Genomic DNA, 18,080 nt, shown 5'->3' with positions numbered 1-18,080 from the left:
GTCAATGTCGCATGACTTAGCATTTGATTACCCTCCTTTGTTCATGAGTCCTCCCTGTTTTCTCAAATAAATTATCAACTTCTGAGGGGCAAGAATCGTGTTATAACTCCTGTCTTGTCCAAACCACCCCCAAGCAGTGGTGGCAATAGGGAGAGCTCCAGAAACATGTATTGATTGATACAGCATTTTATTTCACATTCTAATATTCCAAGTACCAAACTCAAATATTAGTAACTATAGGATACATAATGAGTAGATACAGTACTGGACTAGAAGATCTTAAAATTGAACATTGCACAAACACTGAAAAATCTTATTTCCCTTTTTCACAAAACGTCATGAGACCAAACGTACATAAAAGGGTGGGAGAAGGTAGATGTATTGAGATAAACGTCTTATATTGAGAGTAAACATGTGAGTAAGCAAAAAGAAACCAAATATTTCCCGGAAAAAAAAAATGCCAAACACCTTGAGGAGAATTTTACCTTAATATTTTTGTCTTAGCTTTAGTATCTTTATAATTGAAAGTGAAACATTATTTTGAATTATTAAAAAGGAAGAAAGCAAACTATAAGGGAAGCAAAGGTAAGTATCAAAGAGGTTTTATTAAGTTTCCTGAAGATTATAAAATCAATTAAAGGACATCTAGGGTAGGGAATTAAACCATACACTCTTTATTCAATAGATACTGACTAGCACTGTTGTAAGATCTGAGGGCAGAAGAAAGATGAAGTGGAGGATTCTCCATTCTGAGAGCTAATAGGATATACCAAAAGGAAGGCAAAAATGGTTAAGTGCCCAAAATATATTGCTCAGTGAGTATTATTCGAGTACAGGATGTGGAACAGCCACTTTCATGTAGACCAATCATTCAGTCAATTGACACTTATTAAACACCTACCACATGCAGGGGGTGGGGATCACATAGCTTGAAGACCTTTGAGATTGCCCTTGGGTTTTGAGCATGAAGAGCTTGGTAAAGGCAATCATGGTAATTGGAGGAAGATTAACAAAAGGGTAAAATTAAAGTTTAGCAATGCTAAATGTGAGCAAGTTTGAAGATATTTGAAAGCTCAATGCTAAGCTGAAAAAAACTAAAACAAAACTCCATTCCTTCATTTCCCAGTGAATAGTCTGAAGAATTATCTAGTTAAAACCCAATACCACACCCAAAGCCAGTGCTGGCCTCACTCACAGCATTTTTAAACATGAGATTTCACTCTAGGGAGGCAAGGGCTGGCACTCTGTAAGCTGGCTGCAAGAAAATGACACCTTTTCTCCCCTCTAATTTATTTACTCTAGGGGACAAAAGGTATCCTGGAACCTTAAATGAGGAAAGTACAAGTATTGTGAAATATAGCAATGTAAGAACCAGACAACTTTCCAATATATTCATCTCAGACTATATGGTGAGTTTTGAATAGAGTGCTGAGACAGACTTGCACTCCTTTCCAAAACAAAATAACAATAAAGAAAATTCATGTAAGAAGTATAAGAAATACTGAGAGCAAATCTCTATATGATTTCAATCCAGCTGATTGCAGAGATGGATGTGGAGAAGCATAATGGAAGTGCAAAGAAATGTTTCAATGAATAGCATTGATCGGAGCCATCTTAAGGATTTGTGCTCCATTATATTCACGTATCAAGTCAATTCCAAGCTTTTCAATTGCCCTCTCCTTACCATTATCACTAATAACAATCTCTTTGAGTTAATGGTTCTTATTTATATTTTATCACCTTCATAATATGTTAATATATTGGCATTCTTCACCGAACACTGAAACACATTACTATTAGTCTAATATTGATCCTCAAGACATTTTTACCAAATAACTAAATATTCTTGTAATGGGAAGAAGTGACAAGAAGCTGAAATATTAAAAAGTAAAGAAACTCTGGGGAAATCGTATTAAAGCAAGTTGTAGAATCAAAAATTGGACCTCCCACAACTATTACTCTACTAGCACACTCAGAGTCCTTTCACCTAACCACACTGTTTTCGTTTCTGATTACTAAATTCCTTTTCCAGACTTTGTTAAAATGTTTCTGCTCTCACTAAATGTATATTAAGTATAATATATATTAATGATTTTTAAGTGTGGGTTAAAAAATGGTGAGTCTTCCAGCAGTTAAAAAAAAATGCTAATTTGACTAAAGTGTTTAAAAAAAAAAAGGTCATCTTTTCAGGTCCTTGGGAAGGAAAAACTCCCTGAGTTTCCAAAGCATGTGAGATTTGGCCATCAAACTTGGAAAGATGTGATTAAGTTCTGTGAAATATGACTATGTAAAGAGGATTAACTACTATCAGAAATACACATTCTTGGTCTAACTTTTCTTCTAGGAGAAGAAACTGTTGAGACTTTATGATCTCCCATCTTCTAGACATATTTTAGGTAGCAAATAGTTCTGTGTCATCCCAGCATCACATATTAAATAGGTTAACTTTTGTATTATTCTTTTTATTGTCATGCTCTGATCTTAACATTTGAATTCAAAGTGAGAAACATATCAAGTACAGGCTAGAAAAAGGAAATAACAATAGATTTAACCTAGGTCCATTAGATTTACAGAGTCACTTTTTCCAGCTCAATTGATAAACCATGACATTACTTGACACTGATTAAGCAGCGCCAAACAAGTTCAACAGATGAGGGTTGTTAAGAAATACAGTTGTACACATTCCCAAGATAATAATGTAAAAATAAAAATTCTGATTTCCAAAGCCTTTGGAAAAAAATATGTGTTCTAGCACAAAAATATTTCAGTGGGCTTTGAAATTTATTAGGAAGAGTTGGGCTGCTTAACATTGTCCTTGACTGCTGCTGCCCTTTTTACTTTGTATATAAGGTGGCAGACAAAGGAAGCTGACCTTTCACAAAAGAGCAGCCCCCAAGTAATGAGATCCTAGAATTGCTGACCCCAAGCGCTTGTTGGGATCTGTGATAGTGTCACAAAGGAAGGAAGATATTCCTGTTTCTGCCAAATGTGAGGGTTCCCTTTCAGCTTGTACTTCCATCAGGAAGTCCATCTTCTTACCAAAGGAAGAGTACAATCCTGTCATCAAAACACAGAGGGGCAGGACAACCTTGCAGGGCACAGAATTTTTGGGCCAAAGAGAGATGTTAATCCTTGTGTAATACGAAACTCATCATGGCAATTTTCAGTGTTTTAAAGGAAGCAAACTTAATTAGAAGATGAAAGATTTAATTTTTAGTATTTATATAAGTACCCTGAATATATATTTTAGAATTATTCATATTGGCAAAATGATGGCAATAAAATGCATGTCCACCTATGGGCAACACTTGCATAAAACGTGGTACAAATAAAGTAGGAACAATTAATATGACAATAAAAAACCAGAAATATCTAAAAACTTGGTAAGAATATCTAAATTACATTTGTCATTGAAAAAGTAGTTAACCTGTTCAATTTGATCTCATATAACATATGTCAGATTGCTATTTGCAAGAGCATATAGAATTCTGTAAAAGACACACACCTTACTATTAATATTAGTTATTTCAGAGAGCTCTTGAAGACCTGTGTAGTGTATTGAGGGAGATTATTAACATTTTCCCGCTGTATCTTGAATTATTTCCCTAGATATGCAAAATATGCATTACTTTGAAATTAAAAAATTCCCTAAAATTTCATGAAACATATATATATGTGTATATATATATATGTGTGTGTATATATATATGTATATATATATGTGTGTGTATATATATATGTATATATATAGATATATATGTATATATATATATATATATATAATTTTCTGCAATTGGGAATAAGGACCTCAATGCAATAAAAAAAAGTATGACAGAGGAGAACACTGCAGAACAAACATAGGAGATTCAGCACAACTTGGAAAAACCAAGAGAAGTCCAAACCAAAATCACAGTTTGTACTCTTAGCCACAACAGGGTTATTGTTTTCAGATATTCCTTAGTGAGAAAAGCTTTGAAGTTTACATCAGAATTTCATCTAACGTTATCTTGCATTAGTTTAGATATGTCTTTATACCCACGTAGGTAATTGTACAGGGAAATTGTGTTTTGTTTTCTTTCTAAAATGGGTATTTTGTCATTTTTACCTGATACTTGAAGTCTTTTCAAAATTCTGAGTTAAAAAACCCATCTGGGTATTGCTTTGGATAGGTATATGGCATGGCTGGTTACTCCTGGACTATAGTCCAAAATTGGTTAACAGTTCAATATTATTATAAGAACTATTGTAGTCAAGACCCTGGATTTTGAATAAACAAAATTGACAAAAAGATGGACCGAAAACTCAGACCATCTCCTAGTTCTTCAAGCTAAGTTAGTTTCCTGATATGTCCAACTTTCTGCCAACCCATAAAAGGAAGCCACATATAAGGGCTGATATTCTTGGCAATTGCTGAGGAATTGCCTCTCCAGTCTTCTCCAGACCACCACCACTACCATTTAATCCTGACATATTTGCTTACTTTCATCCCCCAGTTCCAAATCCTAGCTACTTAGTTTGTCTTTGAAATCCACTTCTGCCCCTCACTGAGTTGGCACGTGTATTGACTTTCTTGCCAGCAACTTATAATGCAGTACTATGTTTTTTTTTTCTTTTTTTCTATTAGTTTCTGACTTAACTCATCTTGTGTTTTATGGTTTTTCCCATTAGTTAGGAATGTAACCCAACTCAAGCCAACAGCCTCAGGGTACTAGCCAAGTGACCCATGTGCTTAATGTGAAAAAGATAGGACCCCAAGAGATTGTATCCATGTGGACATGTAAAAAAGATGTCTTTTGACATAAAGCATCACAGAGGTGAAGATGACATTAAGCAACTCTGGTTCAAAAAAGCACTGCCTTCAGCAATGGACCAATGTACAAGACACACAAAACAAGATAGACTAATACCTTCTGAAAACCTTTTCTTATGACCTTAATCTGCATCATACACCATACTATACATTGCAGGGCATTCAGAGATCAAAACTGTGGTCCCAGTTCTCAGACTGTTTACAGACTAACTCTGACACAAATATGATCTGGAAGAGTACAGTTATGTTTGAAAAGCCAAAAATAAATTTACAACTAAGCAAAAAAAGATAAATTAAAACCCAATCCCACTGTACCTTGTAAAAAAAAGAGAGAAACATATAAAAAGCAATAATTAAAAAAAAAAAGAAAAGACTGAAAGCTGAGAGAACAAAAAGAAGGAAGCAGAATTTAAGGATCAGAGGGCAGAGAGACAAAGAAGGCAAATCCATAGCAGAAAACTTGAGAATAGAAGAAGAAAGGGCGAGCAAGAAAGGGCTACAGGAGTAGAAGCTACAACAAAGAAAAAAAAAATATTAGCCCTAGGAAGGACAATCTGGGAAAGACAGGGAGATGGAGAAGACACAATGTTAAAGCAAGGTTGCATCAGACAGCCATCCTAAATAAAACAAGGATGGAGAAATGCATACAATGAATTTGGCAGAAAAGATGGACCACGAATAATAACAATAGCAGCTAGCCTTTTATGGGCCATGTTGAAATCTAGACACTCTTTTTACCAGGCTCCTCCCCTCTAACAAAGGCTTATGTTAGCCCAGAGTAAGTAAGCATGACTGCACCCATACCCTCAACTGACCTGCTCCTTGGGTCCTCAGGCACATTAGTGGCCTCAAACTTCACTCTTGTTTAATAAGCAGTTGGTACTGTGTGGTTCTCATGGCAATACGGCTTTGCTGGGTTCACAACTAATGTTGCTTTTTCCTTCTCAGAATGAGATTCTTTCCACACAGAACAACAACAACATTGCTCCTGGTTATATTTGTGAGCACATACAGATCGTATATGAATATGTTAGATACAGAAAATCAAAAATACACTTTAAAACTTGATTCCAATGACTCTTTCTGAAAAACATCCCTCTTTCCAATCAAAAGCATCAAGAAGGCTTTTATACAGGTTCTCCCTTGAGAACTAGTGATGAGTAAGTCAAAACAACAAAAGCAAATGCTGGCTATTACTGAATGCTGCAACAAGTGCAAAAACAAAATAAAGCACTAATTGTCTACATAACCATTAATTTTCTTCCTAAGAGACCAAAAGTCTCAACTACAGGACCCCTCCACATCAAATTATGAATTTACATTGACGTATTTTCCCCAAACATGTTTCTTCTGTTTGTAAATGACCTTTTCCTTGCTAAACAGCTCTTATCTATTGCCTTTGGAAAGGAAAACAAGTTGTCAAATTCCAGAAATGTTCAAAAGTACATTGAGCCCTGATACCCTTAATCTTTCTCTTTAGTTCATTTTCTCTTTCTTCTCTTTATTTTATCTTTCTTCCTGTTTCTTATAAATAACCGGTTGAGGTTGTAGAACTGTCATCTTTTTTTCTTTTTTTACTAGGCTGCTATTGACAGCCTCATCACTAAAAGCTTTGAGGTTCATCAGACTCTTCACAGTTTAAACGACTATTATGAAATTATTTGGGATGAATTAGAATTAATCAATAAGATTTCCAAAAGATGCTATCAAGAATGACATAAAAAAGAGAGTAGATAGCTAACTTGCGTAATATACTGTCAATGTATCTCAGATCATGAGAAGGTACCACAATATTTGTGAAAGAAAGTAAAAAAATAGTAGTTATTTCTATTTTGGTAAGACTCACCCCTTTGTGCTACCAACTAGCAGCAAAGTAAAATAAAATTAAATAAATTATAACTGGAAAGAACAGGAATGTGTCTTCTTAGGACCACTTTGCACCTCCATATTTCTCTGTGGTTGTAAAGCCTCAGAGAAAATCTGAACCATTAAAATAATCGTTAAGGTTTTCAGGAATGTATGTGTGCGTGTGTGTTGTTGTTTTATGTGTAAGAGAGACAATCAAAGCTGATTCATTGCATCTGCTGATGAAATTCAGTGAGATCTGTCTAGAGGGCTGGGAAGAAAAATTGAGTAATTAGATAGAGAATCAAAACATAGGGTGATTATGAGAGAATTCGCCCTCCAGCATTGGGGGATGGTGTGAATTTTCAGGTCTGAGGATATATATGGGGCTACAGAGAGAAAAAATTATTTCCTGAATAAGATTGGAGAAGATGGCTATGTCTAGGCTTGGGATCTTGATTTTCCTGTAACACTGGGATAAGAATGAAAATGAAGGAAACCATCACACTTGGCTTATGGCTGGAGTAGCAGTATCTTCAGGTTGCCCAACCACTTGTGAGAGTGATAGTGGGTCTAGCTGCAGTGTGCATACCTGTAGAGACATGTGTTCTTTAAAAGGCACGTAGATTCTCTAGGGCTGAGAGAGACTTCTAGACACCAAGAGATGTTATTATCCTAGGTAAATAACCGTGGGAACTGGGGAAAAGGAAGAAATGTCAGTTTTAATACATATAAAAAACCTATGACCCTATTTTGAGACAGAAGAATTGAGAAAAATTATGCCATAGAATAAGTATTGTGCCATTGATTTGCCTCTTGCCTACTCCCCTAAGAGGGTGCCCTAGGGAAACACCTGTTACATTTAAGCTCTGTCTCTAGTAAACAATTTCACCAATTACGCAATAAAAAATTCTGTGAACCTGGCACCCAGATCTGGAACTCCCAGTTGCTCTCAGTGCCAAAGGTCAATCCAATGTGTCTGCTTTTGAAATATTTTAGCCAAAGAATGTTAATGACATTTTCCAATACACTGTGCTGTTCTACCACATGTCCCTCCCCGGAAATTTGGGATTACTAAAATACAGAGATATTTTGAGTGCCAAAAGGCCACAATAGTGAAAGATATGGCCAGCTTTTTAGATGCTCTGACCATCTTAAAGACCTACAAAAACACTGGTGCAAGGAAACAAATGCATTAACTCCAAACTCTGAAAAGAAAAACTGCAAAACCCAAATCAATTAACATTTATATGCATATCTAAAAAACATAATACATTGTCAACTTTATTCATTGTTCCACTTAGTCTTCTAATAATCTCTTTGTACCTGAAAAAGATTTGTAGATTAGGTTTTTTTCACTTCGCAAGAATATTCATGTATGCAAGATGTCTCCAAATTCACAGATACATATCAGTTAAATTTACTTGGACACAGAGTTTCAGGAGCAAAATTATAAAAGCTTTTTCAACATATTATTGTGAAATAATTAAATTTGGTGTTGAATGTTAGTGCACTTTAATATGTGTCTTTGGATGTGGAATGGAGGCCTCAAAAAGCGTCTATTGTTACAGGAAATAGCAAAACTTGAAGAGAAATTCCTGCATGTTCTTTCATCTATTCCCACTGGCCTTTTCTTGTGTTTTTCCAGCTCAACAACAAAGTTAAACACGAGTCAGAAAGAGAAACTTCCATTGCTAACATGAAGCCAAATTGTCCTAAACAGGTAAATAATAAAGTTTAAAAGCAGTGGTTAATTTTTTTGAAATACATTGAGAAAAGGACATCAGAATTTTATCCTTTCCAGGATTCCCTACCTACCTTAGACTAAAAATGCAATATTCTTATTTCTAAAGATGCAGTCAGAATTGGTGTACATTGGTAATGGACAGGATACCAGGGTTAATCCATGAACTGTCACCACCCTCCAAGGGTAGTTCCCACCAAGTCAAAGAAAATGAAATGTTGTTTTCTCATCTTTCAAGAAGAAATTAAAGGCCATAGGTCTGTCACATATTTATCTGTTGAGTATCCCGGAAAACAATCTGAAATTTTACATAAAGATGGAGATGAGATTAATTATTAGCAAATAATGTCACCAAAATCATTCCAAGTCTCTTAAATACTTCAAATACTTCACCTACTCAAAACTAGTTAAAAAATATATTTGCTTGAATTCTAAGTTATTTAATTTTAAGTTATATATTGGGTGTCAGAATACCATTTATATGATTGACAAGTGTTAAAAGAAGCAACATGAGAATTTACAGACATCGACAATAGCCTCAAATATGACTCACATACATAAGAAAAACTTTCAATATATTTTAACCAGTTCCAGAAAACCAGATAGTTAGTATTGTTTTTTATTTCACTTTTCATTAAATTGTCATCAGTCAGGGAAAATGACTAAGTAGTAGTACACAGGATTAAAAAACAATAAGCTGTCTCTAAAAAAATCCATATTAAATTCTATGCATGATCTATATTCAGCTTGAAAATTATCAGCTAAGAGTGGGATGACCAGAAGATCATTTGCATCTAGCATATTGAATGTAATATATGCCAATTTCTTAACCTCACAATATAATGATAGGAAAGTTAAGTCTAAAACAAATTTAAATGTCAGCTCCTAAAACTTAAAATATTGTTAGATTTACTTTTCTCCTATTATACCTTACTTTCCACACAACAGGAAAGGGCACTATTAGGGTTCCCTTGACTAATAAGGCATGTAGTCGAGTCTCACTTTTGTATTTATCATTCATGAAACAAAATTCCGGGTTCCATTTACTTTTTATTTTCCTTGAGAATTTGATATATTTTCTTTAAGCCTTTTTATATGTCTATATTTGGATTCTTTATGCTTTTATAATATTAGGAACATAGTTAACTGTTTTAACCATTTGATGTATTATAAACATTCCCCCATCACTAAATATTCTACAACATAATTTTCAATGATTAAGTGGTGAAGAGCTATGCTTCAGCAAATAGAAATGGCCTTTACACATTTGAGGAGTTCCTAAACTCTTTTCTGTGTTAAAGACAGGCTACCCACCTCAGAGCTGAGTCTGTAATAAAGTAAATAAAAATATGCAGTTGGGCTTCAGAAATGATAACATTGCTACTTATGTATGGACCACCCTTCTCTTAACAGTTCAGTAACTTCATACCTTCCATAGCAGAGGCCACTATAATATATTGTTGAGGTCAGGGTTATTTCACCCATTTCACAAATGAATAAATGAACACACAGACTGATATGAACAGAAACCAACTTTCCCAAAGGATTATCTTCCTTGTTTTATACTCCAAATATACTCAGAGAAGCAAGCATAATAGGAACTTATGGACTAAGTTATATGAAAATAATGTATGATTTTTCAAAGCTTAAATAATAATTTAAAATAGCATATGTCATTTGCTTTCATTAATTCAGCTAACAGGGGCTTTTTGAAAAACAAGAAGGGAATCTCAAAAGAAAAAGTAGAAAAGATAATGTTCTTGTTTATATGCCCTTGGGGAGTTATTTCCCTCCTACAATACTACAGTATAGCTGAGGTAACCACAGTATTCAGTTCCCACGTTTTCTAGGCTACTATTCTGAGATTCAGAGATTGTAGGTTTTGCGGATTTGTAGGTTTTGGATTCAGTCGAAATAATATTTCATTAATTGTTATAGTTACACTGACTCCTTATAATCATTCATGAAACTAAAGTTGTCAGTATTTTAATGTGGCAATTCTAGTCTCCTTCATTAACTCAACTGGTTTAGCCAAACATGCATAACCATTTAGCTCTGCACCACCTGTAGAGAGGAAGTTAAATGAGGAAAAGTAAAGCATCATACTATCACAATTAAGTTTTTGGATACACCTTAATTTTACCCACTCAGAAGAAAAATTGTAACCACCACAATAAAGCTGGAAAAGGTCATGATTAAAGAATGGCTGTCATTTTGTTCCACTCCTGGGAACTTCTATCCACCCACTCCCAAGTGATGGACGTGTTTCTCTCAGTGCACTGGATTTAGATGTGTGAAAGGATGAAGACAGTTAAATTTTTCAAATCACCAGAGAGCCAGTAAAGCAGCATTTGATCTGCCCTGTGGAAAGCATCTGGGAACAAAAGAAAAACTCATGAATGACACAAAACCGAGGTCACCTGAAGATACCACTAAGATACTAAAGCAGGCTCAGCTATCTCACAATGGAAGGGATCCTAGTGAAGGAACCCAACCTAGAAACCAATGCATTGACATACAAATCAGAGAATTCCCCCACAAAATGATAGGATCTATTATCTTTCTTTTATTATCCTTACTTTTGAAATTTGATATTTATTAGGAATTGGTTTTGAATTATTAAAATTTTATTCGTGATTCCACATAATACATACTCCCTGAGTAATAAACCTACATGGATAAAACAAAACATTTTTAATAAGACCAGATTATCTGCCAATATCAACTTAAAATAAAAAAAAATAAAAACAAAACCAAGCAAAATTTAACTCATCTCAGTCTGCCACTCTCTTTTTCTTTTTAAAATTACTTCTGTCTAAAATCTGAAATCTAAAAATAGCCAATTCTATAAGCTTTCTCAAGGCCCTGAAAACAATCACATATGAATGGTAGTGATGATTAGTATGATTAATCCTATAGATTTATTATCTCTAGGAAGCTAGAGGTTATTAATTTTTATTAACAAATATTATTTCAAAAACACTGTATTAAATCACCTCATTAAAACTAGACACCTCTTTACGATAACATCTCTGTTACAGAAATGGAAGCAAAAGTTGTATGTCCTTGTGTATCTTTGTAATTTTTAACACTGGTAAGAAAAGAGCAATATTTATACAACACTGAAGAGCATCATATTTCCAAATATCTTTAAAAAGCAATATACTGCCACCTATTTTGCCATCTGTAAGTTGCTGATTCTTATTGCCTAATACTTTTCTTTAGGTATCAATGGGATGAAGGTTTTCTTACAATAGTTCCATAAATTAAAGTAGTAAAAAAAAATTTATAATTTCAAAACAGAAATGAGAAAGTCACTTTTGCTTTTTGAATGTGTACTCAATGGGAATAATTTTCATTCTTCCACTTGAATTGGTTTCAGATCTATTCAGCACCTATGTGTTTTCTAATTAAATGGCATGATCCACTCCACATTTTAAAAATGGTATTATATGTCTGTTTCCGTTTTCCGAGAGGATATTTTCTAAGCACATCCAAAATAGTTCAACATTTTCCCACTACTGCAAAAAATAGCAACACATATCCTCAACACACGTATTACACCACATGAATACATTTTCGCTTTTGGTCTCCCTTCAGTTCCATCTGCACTCTTGCTGTGCAATAGCTATAGCATAAAAACGTCTATTCTCACATGCTTTTGATATTACACTATTTAATCACATACAGCTGTGGCTTATGAGACTGTTACAAAACAATTTCAATGTAGTACTTGAAGCCAATTTTGAATAAACATCAACCATTTACTCTGAATAAAATGTTTGACATTAAAAAAGTTTTATTTTAAAAGAAAATACTTTTTTTGTTGTTTTGGTTTGATTTTAGAATTTGACATGGGCATAATTGTGACTGAACTCTCTCTGCCAAAAGACTGATAATGTCAAAAAGGTTGTGTAAAATCATACTAGTGCAAAAATGAAGCTTTCCAGAATTCCTGAAGCCAGAAAGACCTAGAATGAACTTGCATCCTCCCTTCTATATTGTGTCCCTCCCTGCAAATTATCCCTACCCCCAGCCCTCAGATACATTTTATTACTTCATGGAAATAATTTTGTGCTATAATTTTGTGCTATTTTTTTTCCAAATTGAAAGAAAGTGAAAGGAAAATGCTTTAGAAAGATGCTGTTAAATATACATGATATTTTCCTTAAGTTTGAATCCATTCTGGAGAAAAGAAAATACCATGAACTTTTTACGTTTCTACTCCTTTTAAGTAGGCACCAAACTCAGTGTTGCAAAAACAATGTCTATATCATGGAAAAAAAATAGCAAAACATGCACTGGGATTGTGTTCAATCCCACTGATAATGAAGGCTTGGGGGAGTTAAGAAAAAAAAACAAAACTAAGAAACAAGGATGGCCCCTTCCTTCTATTTTCCTCTTATTTGAAACCAATTAAAAATTCTATACAGTCTAAAGTGAGACAAACAGGATTTATCATAGTTTCATGCTATCATAGTTTCATGCTATTATATTACCCCCCGAAGCGAAAGAAAATATTTGGAGTTGTACCTAAAAATTCTATCGCTGGAAGATTTTAGAAAACTAGTTTTGTATGTTTCAGGCTTTCAAAGGAAAACAGAACTTTGGAGTTTTCAAGGCTGTTTTAAAACAACTGGCAAGTTACCAACTGGATATCAATGCAAATCTGAGGCAGGAAGTACTAAGGAAATTCTAAACTCATTCCCTCCCTCTGCAAGATTTTCTACATTTTCATGTGTAAGGAGGGTGTTACAGGGTTGTTTTGTTTTGCTTTTGAAGGATCTGTACATTCACATCTTTAAGAATATCCTTTGCTCCGTGGAAGCCTCTCTTCCTTCACCTACTTGTGTTTTCAAGCGTTTGCTCATTCTATGGCACAATCAATTGTGCTTCAGCTAGACTTTTAGAGACGGGTGGCTGCAGATGGTTGAATATTCAGCCTGAAATCAACGTGCAGTTGATTAACTACTTCTTACACCTGGCCCCTTCTTCATACCAGGCTCTGAACACAATCTGAGTATCACCAGCCAAGAAATTCTGTTTGGGTCCACTAGTCTGAACCTCTTTCTTCAAGACCTTCTGGGGAACCAGAAGGGAATGCAGTAAATTCATGTGAGAGCAACATCATTGGCAACTGGGCACTGGATTGGTAGAAACATAGTGAACTGGTAAGGGTGTGGAAAAGGAAGAAAGGAGAAACTTGCTGTGTGTGCTTAGGTAACTTTTTAAGTTTTATGAAGATGACTAAAGTTTTCCAAATATATGTGAGAGAAATATCTATTTCTCGGCTGGAAAAAAATCAATTCACCGGGCTGTAACCAGGTTTTCTTCTTTTTAGCTTACCTAGCTTGACTAATTTTTTTTCAAGAACCCCCCATCCACCCCCACCTACTCCCCACCACCACCCCCACCCCCACCCCACCCCGGCAAGTACCTCAAAAATTCAGAATGAAATTCAGCTGGGATCTCATAAGTCAACAGCAACAGGTTGTTTTTTTTTTGGAAAGGGTGATAAAATACTTAAAAAATGTTGGATTACAACTAATCAAACATTTTGTATTTTGTCATTAAGCTAATGAACTATTTTTTGAGCCCTTTTTCTCTAAAACTTGCTGATTATTCTGGGTGTCCCTTCCAAACAGCAAATTTGCCTTGATAAACTATTTTTTCATCCGGTTGTTTCTTATTTAAATATTACAACATATCACTAAGATTTCTTCATTATTCCTTAAGCGAAGTAATGTTCCTCCTTGAAATTGCTTCTTTTGGTAAAAAAAAAAAAAAAAAAAAAGAAAAATTCATCAAAAAGAAAATTGACAAATGACAACTTTTTAAAGACGTGAGGTGTGAAAGAGGGAGCACAGGATGACAACATTGTTACACATTATAGATATGAGTCAGCCACTGGGTTTTCATCTTAACTTACATGTATATTTTTCTAATATATAACATTTTAAGGATTTGAAAAATTATTTGAAGGAGCATAAACATTTACTTTTAAAGAAACAAAGTTGAGAGATTCATTCCAATGCAATGGAAAATAATAGGAGCAGAGAAGGCAGGGAAGTGTCGCAAGTTCTTCTAAAACTTTACTATGTATTCCAGGGAATGGAAACATCTGCATTTATTTCTTAAATCTCATTTTCATTTTGTTTTATCATTAAAAAATAGCAAAGGTATTTATCATTACACAAGTAGAAAAAGAGAGTTCAGCATGTGTGCATTTTCTGAAATAATGTAGTAATAAACATTTCAATCCTTTAAAATCCCATGAAGATTTTCCCCAAAAAACTAATGATAGTAAATAGCCCTTGTGGATTGGCAGGAAGAAAACCTACCTCAATTTAGAGAAAAATTTAAGATATGTTATCACCAGAATACGATTTTTACCTACCGTAGACTCTATTTTCATCAAACATAAGTATTATTGACATATCAGCATCATTTTAAATAGCTATGAATTTCAAATTGGATTATAACTCCAAGCCAAGGCTACAAAGAGTGGATTTTATGAATTCCACCCAGGCTTACCAAATAAATATAAGCAGCATGTACTTCATTTAAAATGATTATAAATTATATTTTGAGGTATAAGTGTAGAAGGAACAAAAAGTGATGTGGAAATAACCCAGTTGTTTTCCTGTTACACTGAAACATGATGGTACTTCATTGTATAGTATTAACCCTGTCAGAAAATCCCCAGTACCCACATTTTAAAATATGATTGCACATTGACTCTTCATCTCATTTCCTCTCTATGCAAGTTTCAAAACAGGGCACATTTTCTCATCTTCAGCTTCCAGGAATGCTATTAATGTCTGTCATTTCAGAGCCACCATAACAATACAGGACAACTTCAAAGCATTGTCAACATTTTACAACATAATAATCAATGTGAACTACCATGATAGGCAAAATAGCTGATCTTATATTCCCTACTATCCTGATCTGATTATCCAAATATCAACATAGGACGCCTAATGGATCTAACTTCTTTAAAAATGTTCCAGAAGTTCAAGGTGTTGGCTAGCTTGAGAGTAACAAGATCCAGATGCCGCCTGTCTATACAACACTAAACTACATAGAACTCCAAAACAGATATCTACAATCTCCCTATTTTTCAGGCTCCTCTCTTTTCCCTCACTACTCCACTCTCTCTCTTTACCCCCCATCTTTCTCTCTCTCGCACACACTTTCTACTAGTATAGCTCATCCAGCAGCCTGTGTCTTTGAAAAAATGTGCATAACATTCACTATTTCCTGTTAGTAATAGGTTAAAAGAAGTCTCAAACAGAAAAACAATTATGTTATTCATTTCAATCTAAAGTTTCTTTTCTGAATATATACCATAGTAGAAAACAAGGACCCGAAACAAAGTGTAATTTTTGAAACACTTGGAAAAATGTAGCCAAATGAGTAAAAGGGATGGAATGTCTGATATTTTTCATGCAACCTTTGAGTTTATTGTTTTTGTTTTGTTGAGGCATGAGAAATGACTGTAAATTTTCCCCTTTTAACTTGTCCTTGCTCTGCCATTTCCTTGAGGAATGGCAGGCAGCATTCTCAACCTAACACCCCCAAAGAGTTAAAACTTAAGGCACCGAGCAGGAGGGCTAGTCTATTTAAGCATCAGCAGCACAAACTAAATGCTCACAAAGGCAAATAGCAGTGTGAGTCGACCTTGGAGGGGCAGGGTGGATTACAAAGCAATTGAAAAAGAAAAAAACAAAGCAATAATCTTTTGTATAATACTGAAAGTCTGCTTCCCAGTCTGGTTTACAAATAGGCGTTGCTGGACGAGACAAAATAAATGACAGATAACTACAGCATGAATTACCTAACCCTAATCACATCACCGAGTCCTGGTGACAGCATAGATCATTCAGGCACGCCTTGTTCACTCTCGGCATATTTATTTATTAAGGAGACGGTGGAGTCTGGCTAATGCTAATGCAATACAAAATAATATCACCCGTACACTCGAGGTGGTCACTCCGCTAACATGTTTTCCCCCTAATCAAGTCCAATTTAATTGACAAATCGGAGCAGTGATTTCACACCTGAGAGTCTTTCATGTCTTAACTGCAGGATAAAGTTCAGGGTAGGTACTGCCCACTGCTTACTTACGTGGGCTTGCCTCTGGGCCCCTAATGGTCATTTGACACACACACATAAAGCCTAAAGTATTTAACCAATTCAAGTCCAATTATGATCAGTTACATTTCATTCCTTTTCAAGACTCAGGCCTCCTCATGGCAGCTACACAGAAAAATAGATCTTCTAAAAGTAAAGAACATCTATTGTAAAGCAGTCTGTAGCATGCTGATCATCCTCAACATAAAATAAAATAGGCAAGGCAAATTAAAAATAAAAATAAACTCTCAGAGACTCTGGTAGGAGCCCTATACCTTCTCACACCCTTCTTTCATTCTATACCCTGCGATTAAAAGTTTGAGTTACCCCCACCGTTGCACGTCCTATCCAGTGGGAAAAACCCTTTTAGAGCCACAATCAAAGAACAGCTCACCAGAAAAGCCCCTGAAATTATATTCTTGTGCCTGGTAATCACTGTTGTGATCTGCTTTCTAAAAACCGTGCCCATCTGCAAAAGACGTTCCTGATATCAGGACCATTTATGCTGCCAAATAACAACAAAGAAACTGAACTCAAGTGAAACTATTATCTCTCCTTAAAGAGAAAGCTACAATTCCGGGTTTGCTGCTTTCTTCTTATGTCTTCCTCTGCCTCATTAACTCCATTGGTATGTCACTAATTTCAAAGAAGCAGGAAGAAGTGATGGGGGTGGGGGTTAACTAATAATTCACACGCCTGTCTGTTTCCCATCCCAAGTGCAGAACGATACCACGCTGATCGCCAGACCGTGGGTCAAGCCATACCTTGGTTTGGAGATAATGAGGATAGTAGTAAGTGTACTGGGGGTACATTTGTGGCTGATCCAGGCGTTTGCCCATGTAGCTGGAATCTTTATCTCCGAGGCAGGGAACTGGATGACAGGGTATAGTGCCCCAGGCCGAGCTTCCTCTTAAACCACTATTCCTGACAGTCCCGGTGACTGATGAGGCTTCAGAGACTCCACCACTCGCTAGTTCCAACACAGCAAGAATTTTTTTAAAAAACAAAACAAAACAAAAAACACACACCAAAGGAAAAAAAAAAAGGGCGAGGAGTGAGATCTGTAGAAAAAACACCCACACACAGCCTTCCCAGATCTTGCCTGGCTTCCCCCAGCTGCCGGGGTCCACTTGGGATGAGGCAGTTTGTTCTCTAACCAGGCTGTCTGTAGTGATGTCAATTGCCAGCGTTCGTAAAGGGGGAAAAAAATCAAAGTCCTTTTAGCACAACTCCGAATCCTTGCAGATCAGCTTCCTGTCTCTTGGTTGTCTCTTTCCCCACCTTAAAGAAAAAGAAAAAAGAGAGAGAGAAAGAGAAAGAAAGAAAGAAAAAGAAAGAAAGAAAGAAAAAGAAAGGGGAAAAAGAAAAAAAAAAAGAAAAAAAGGAAGAAAAAAAAAAAAAAAAAACCTTGTACAGCTTAGTTGCTGCTGTCTCCCTCCCAGAGTGACATGGTGTTCGGGGCTTGTCCTGTCCTTTCATTCACTTCCCCTCCTTCCAGCCGGTGGGTGGAACCGAGAGAGCCTCTCCAGGGAGCAGCGTACGCAG

The 18,080-nt window shown here is 35.4% G+C and overlaps 1 protein-coding gene across 12 annotated transcripts in view; it reads right to left on the bottom strand.

Annotated features, from left to right (window-relative positions):
- Positions 1-17,985, bottom strand: part of RBMS3 (RNA binding motif single stranded interacting protein 3) — a 729,325-nt gene extending 711,340 nt beyond the window's left edge. For 11 of the 12 annotated variants that reach the window (XM_005265061.3, XM_017006180.2, XM_017006179.2 and 8 more), the window contains exon 1: positions 17,300-17,985. In XM_005265061.3, the coding sequence (XP_005265118.1) occupies positions 17,300-17,374 (75 nt within the window). In that variant the 5' untranslated portion in view covers positions 17,375-17,985. The remainder of the gene's footprint in view (positions 1-17,299) is intronic. The other variant, NM_001330696.1, reaches the window with a different exon arrangement.
- Positions 17,986-18,080: the final 95 nt, after the last annotated feature.

Source organism: Homo sapiens, chromosome 3, assembly GCF_000001405.40.
Source record: "Homo sapiens chromosome 3, GRCh38.p14 Primary Assembly".
In the NCBI taxonomy this organism is placed as follows: Eukaryota; Metazoa; Chordata; class Mammalia; order Primates; family Hominidae; genus Homo; species Homo sapiens.
This window is presented reverse-complemented; position numbering and strand designations above follow the sequence as displayed.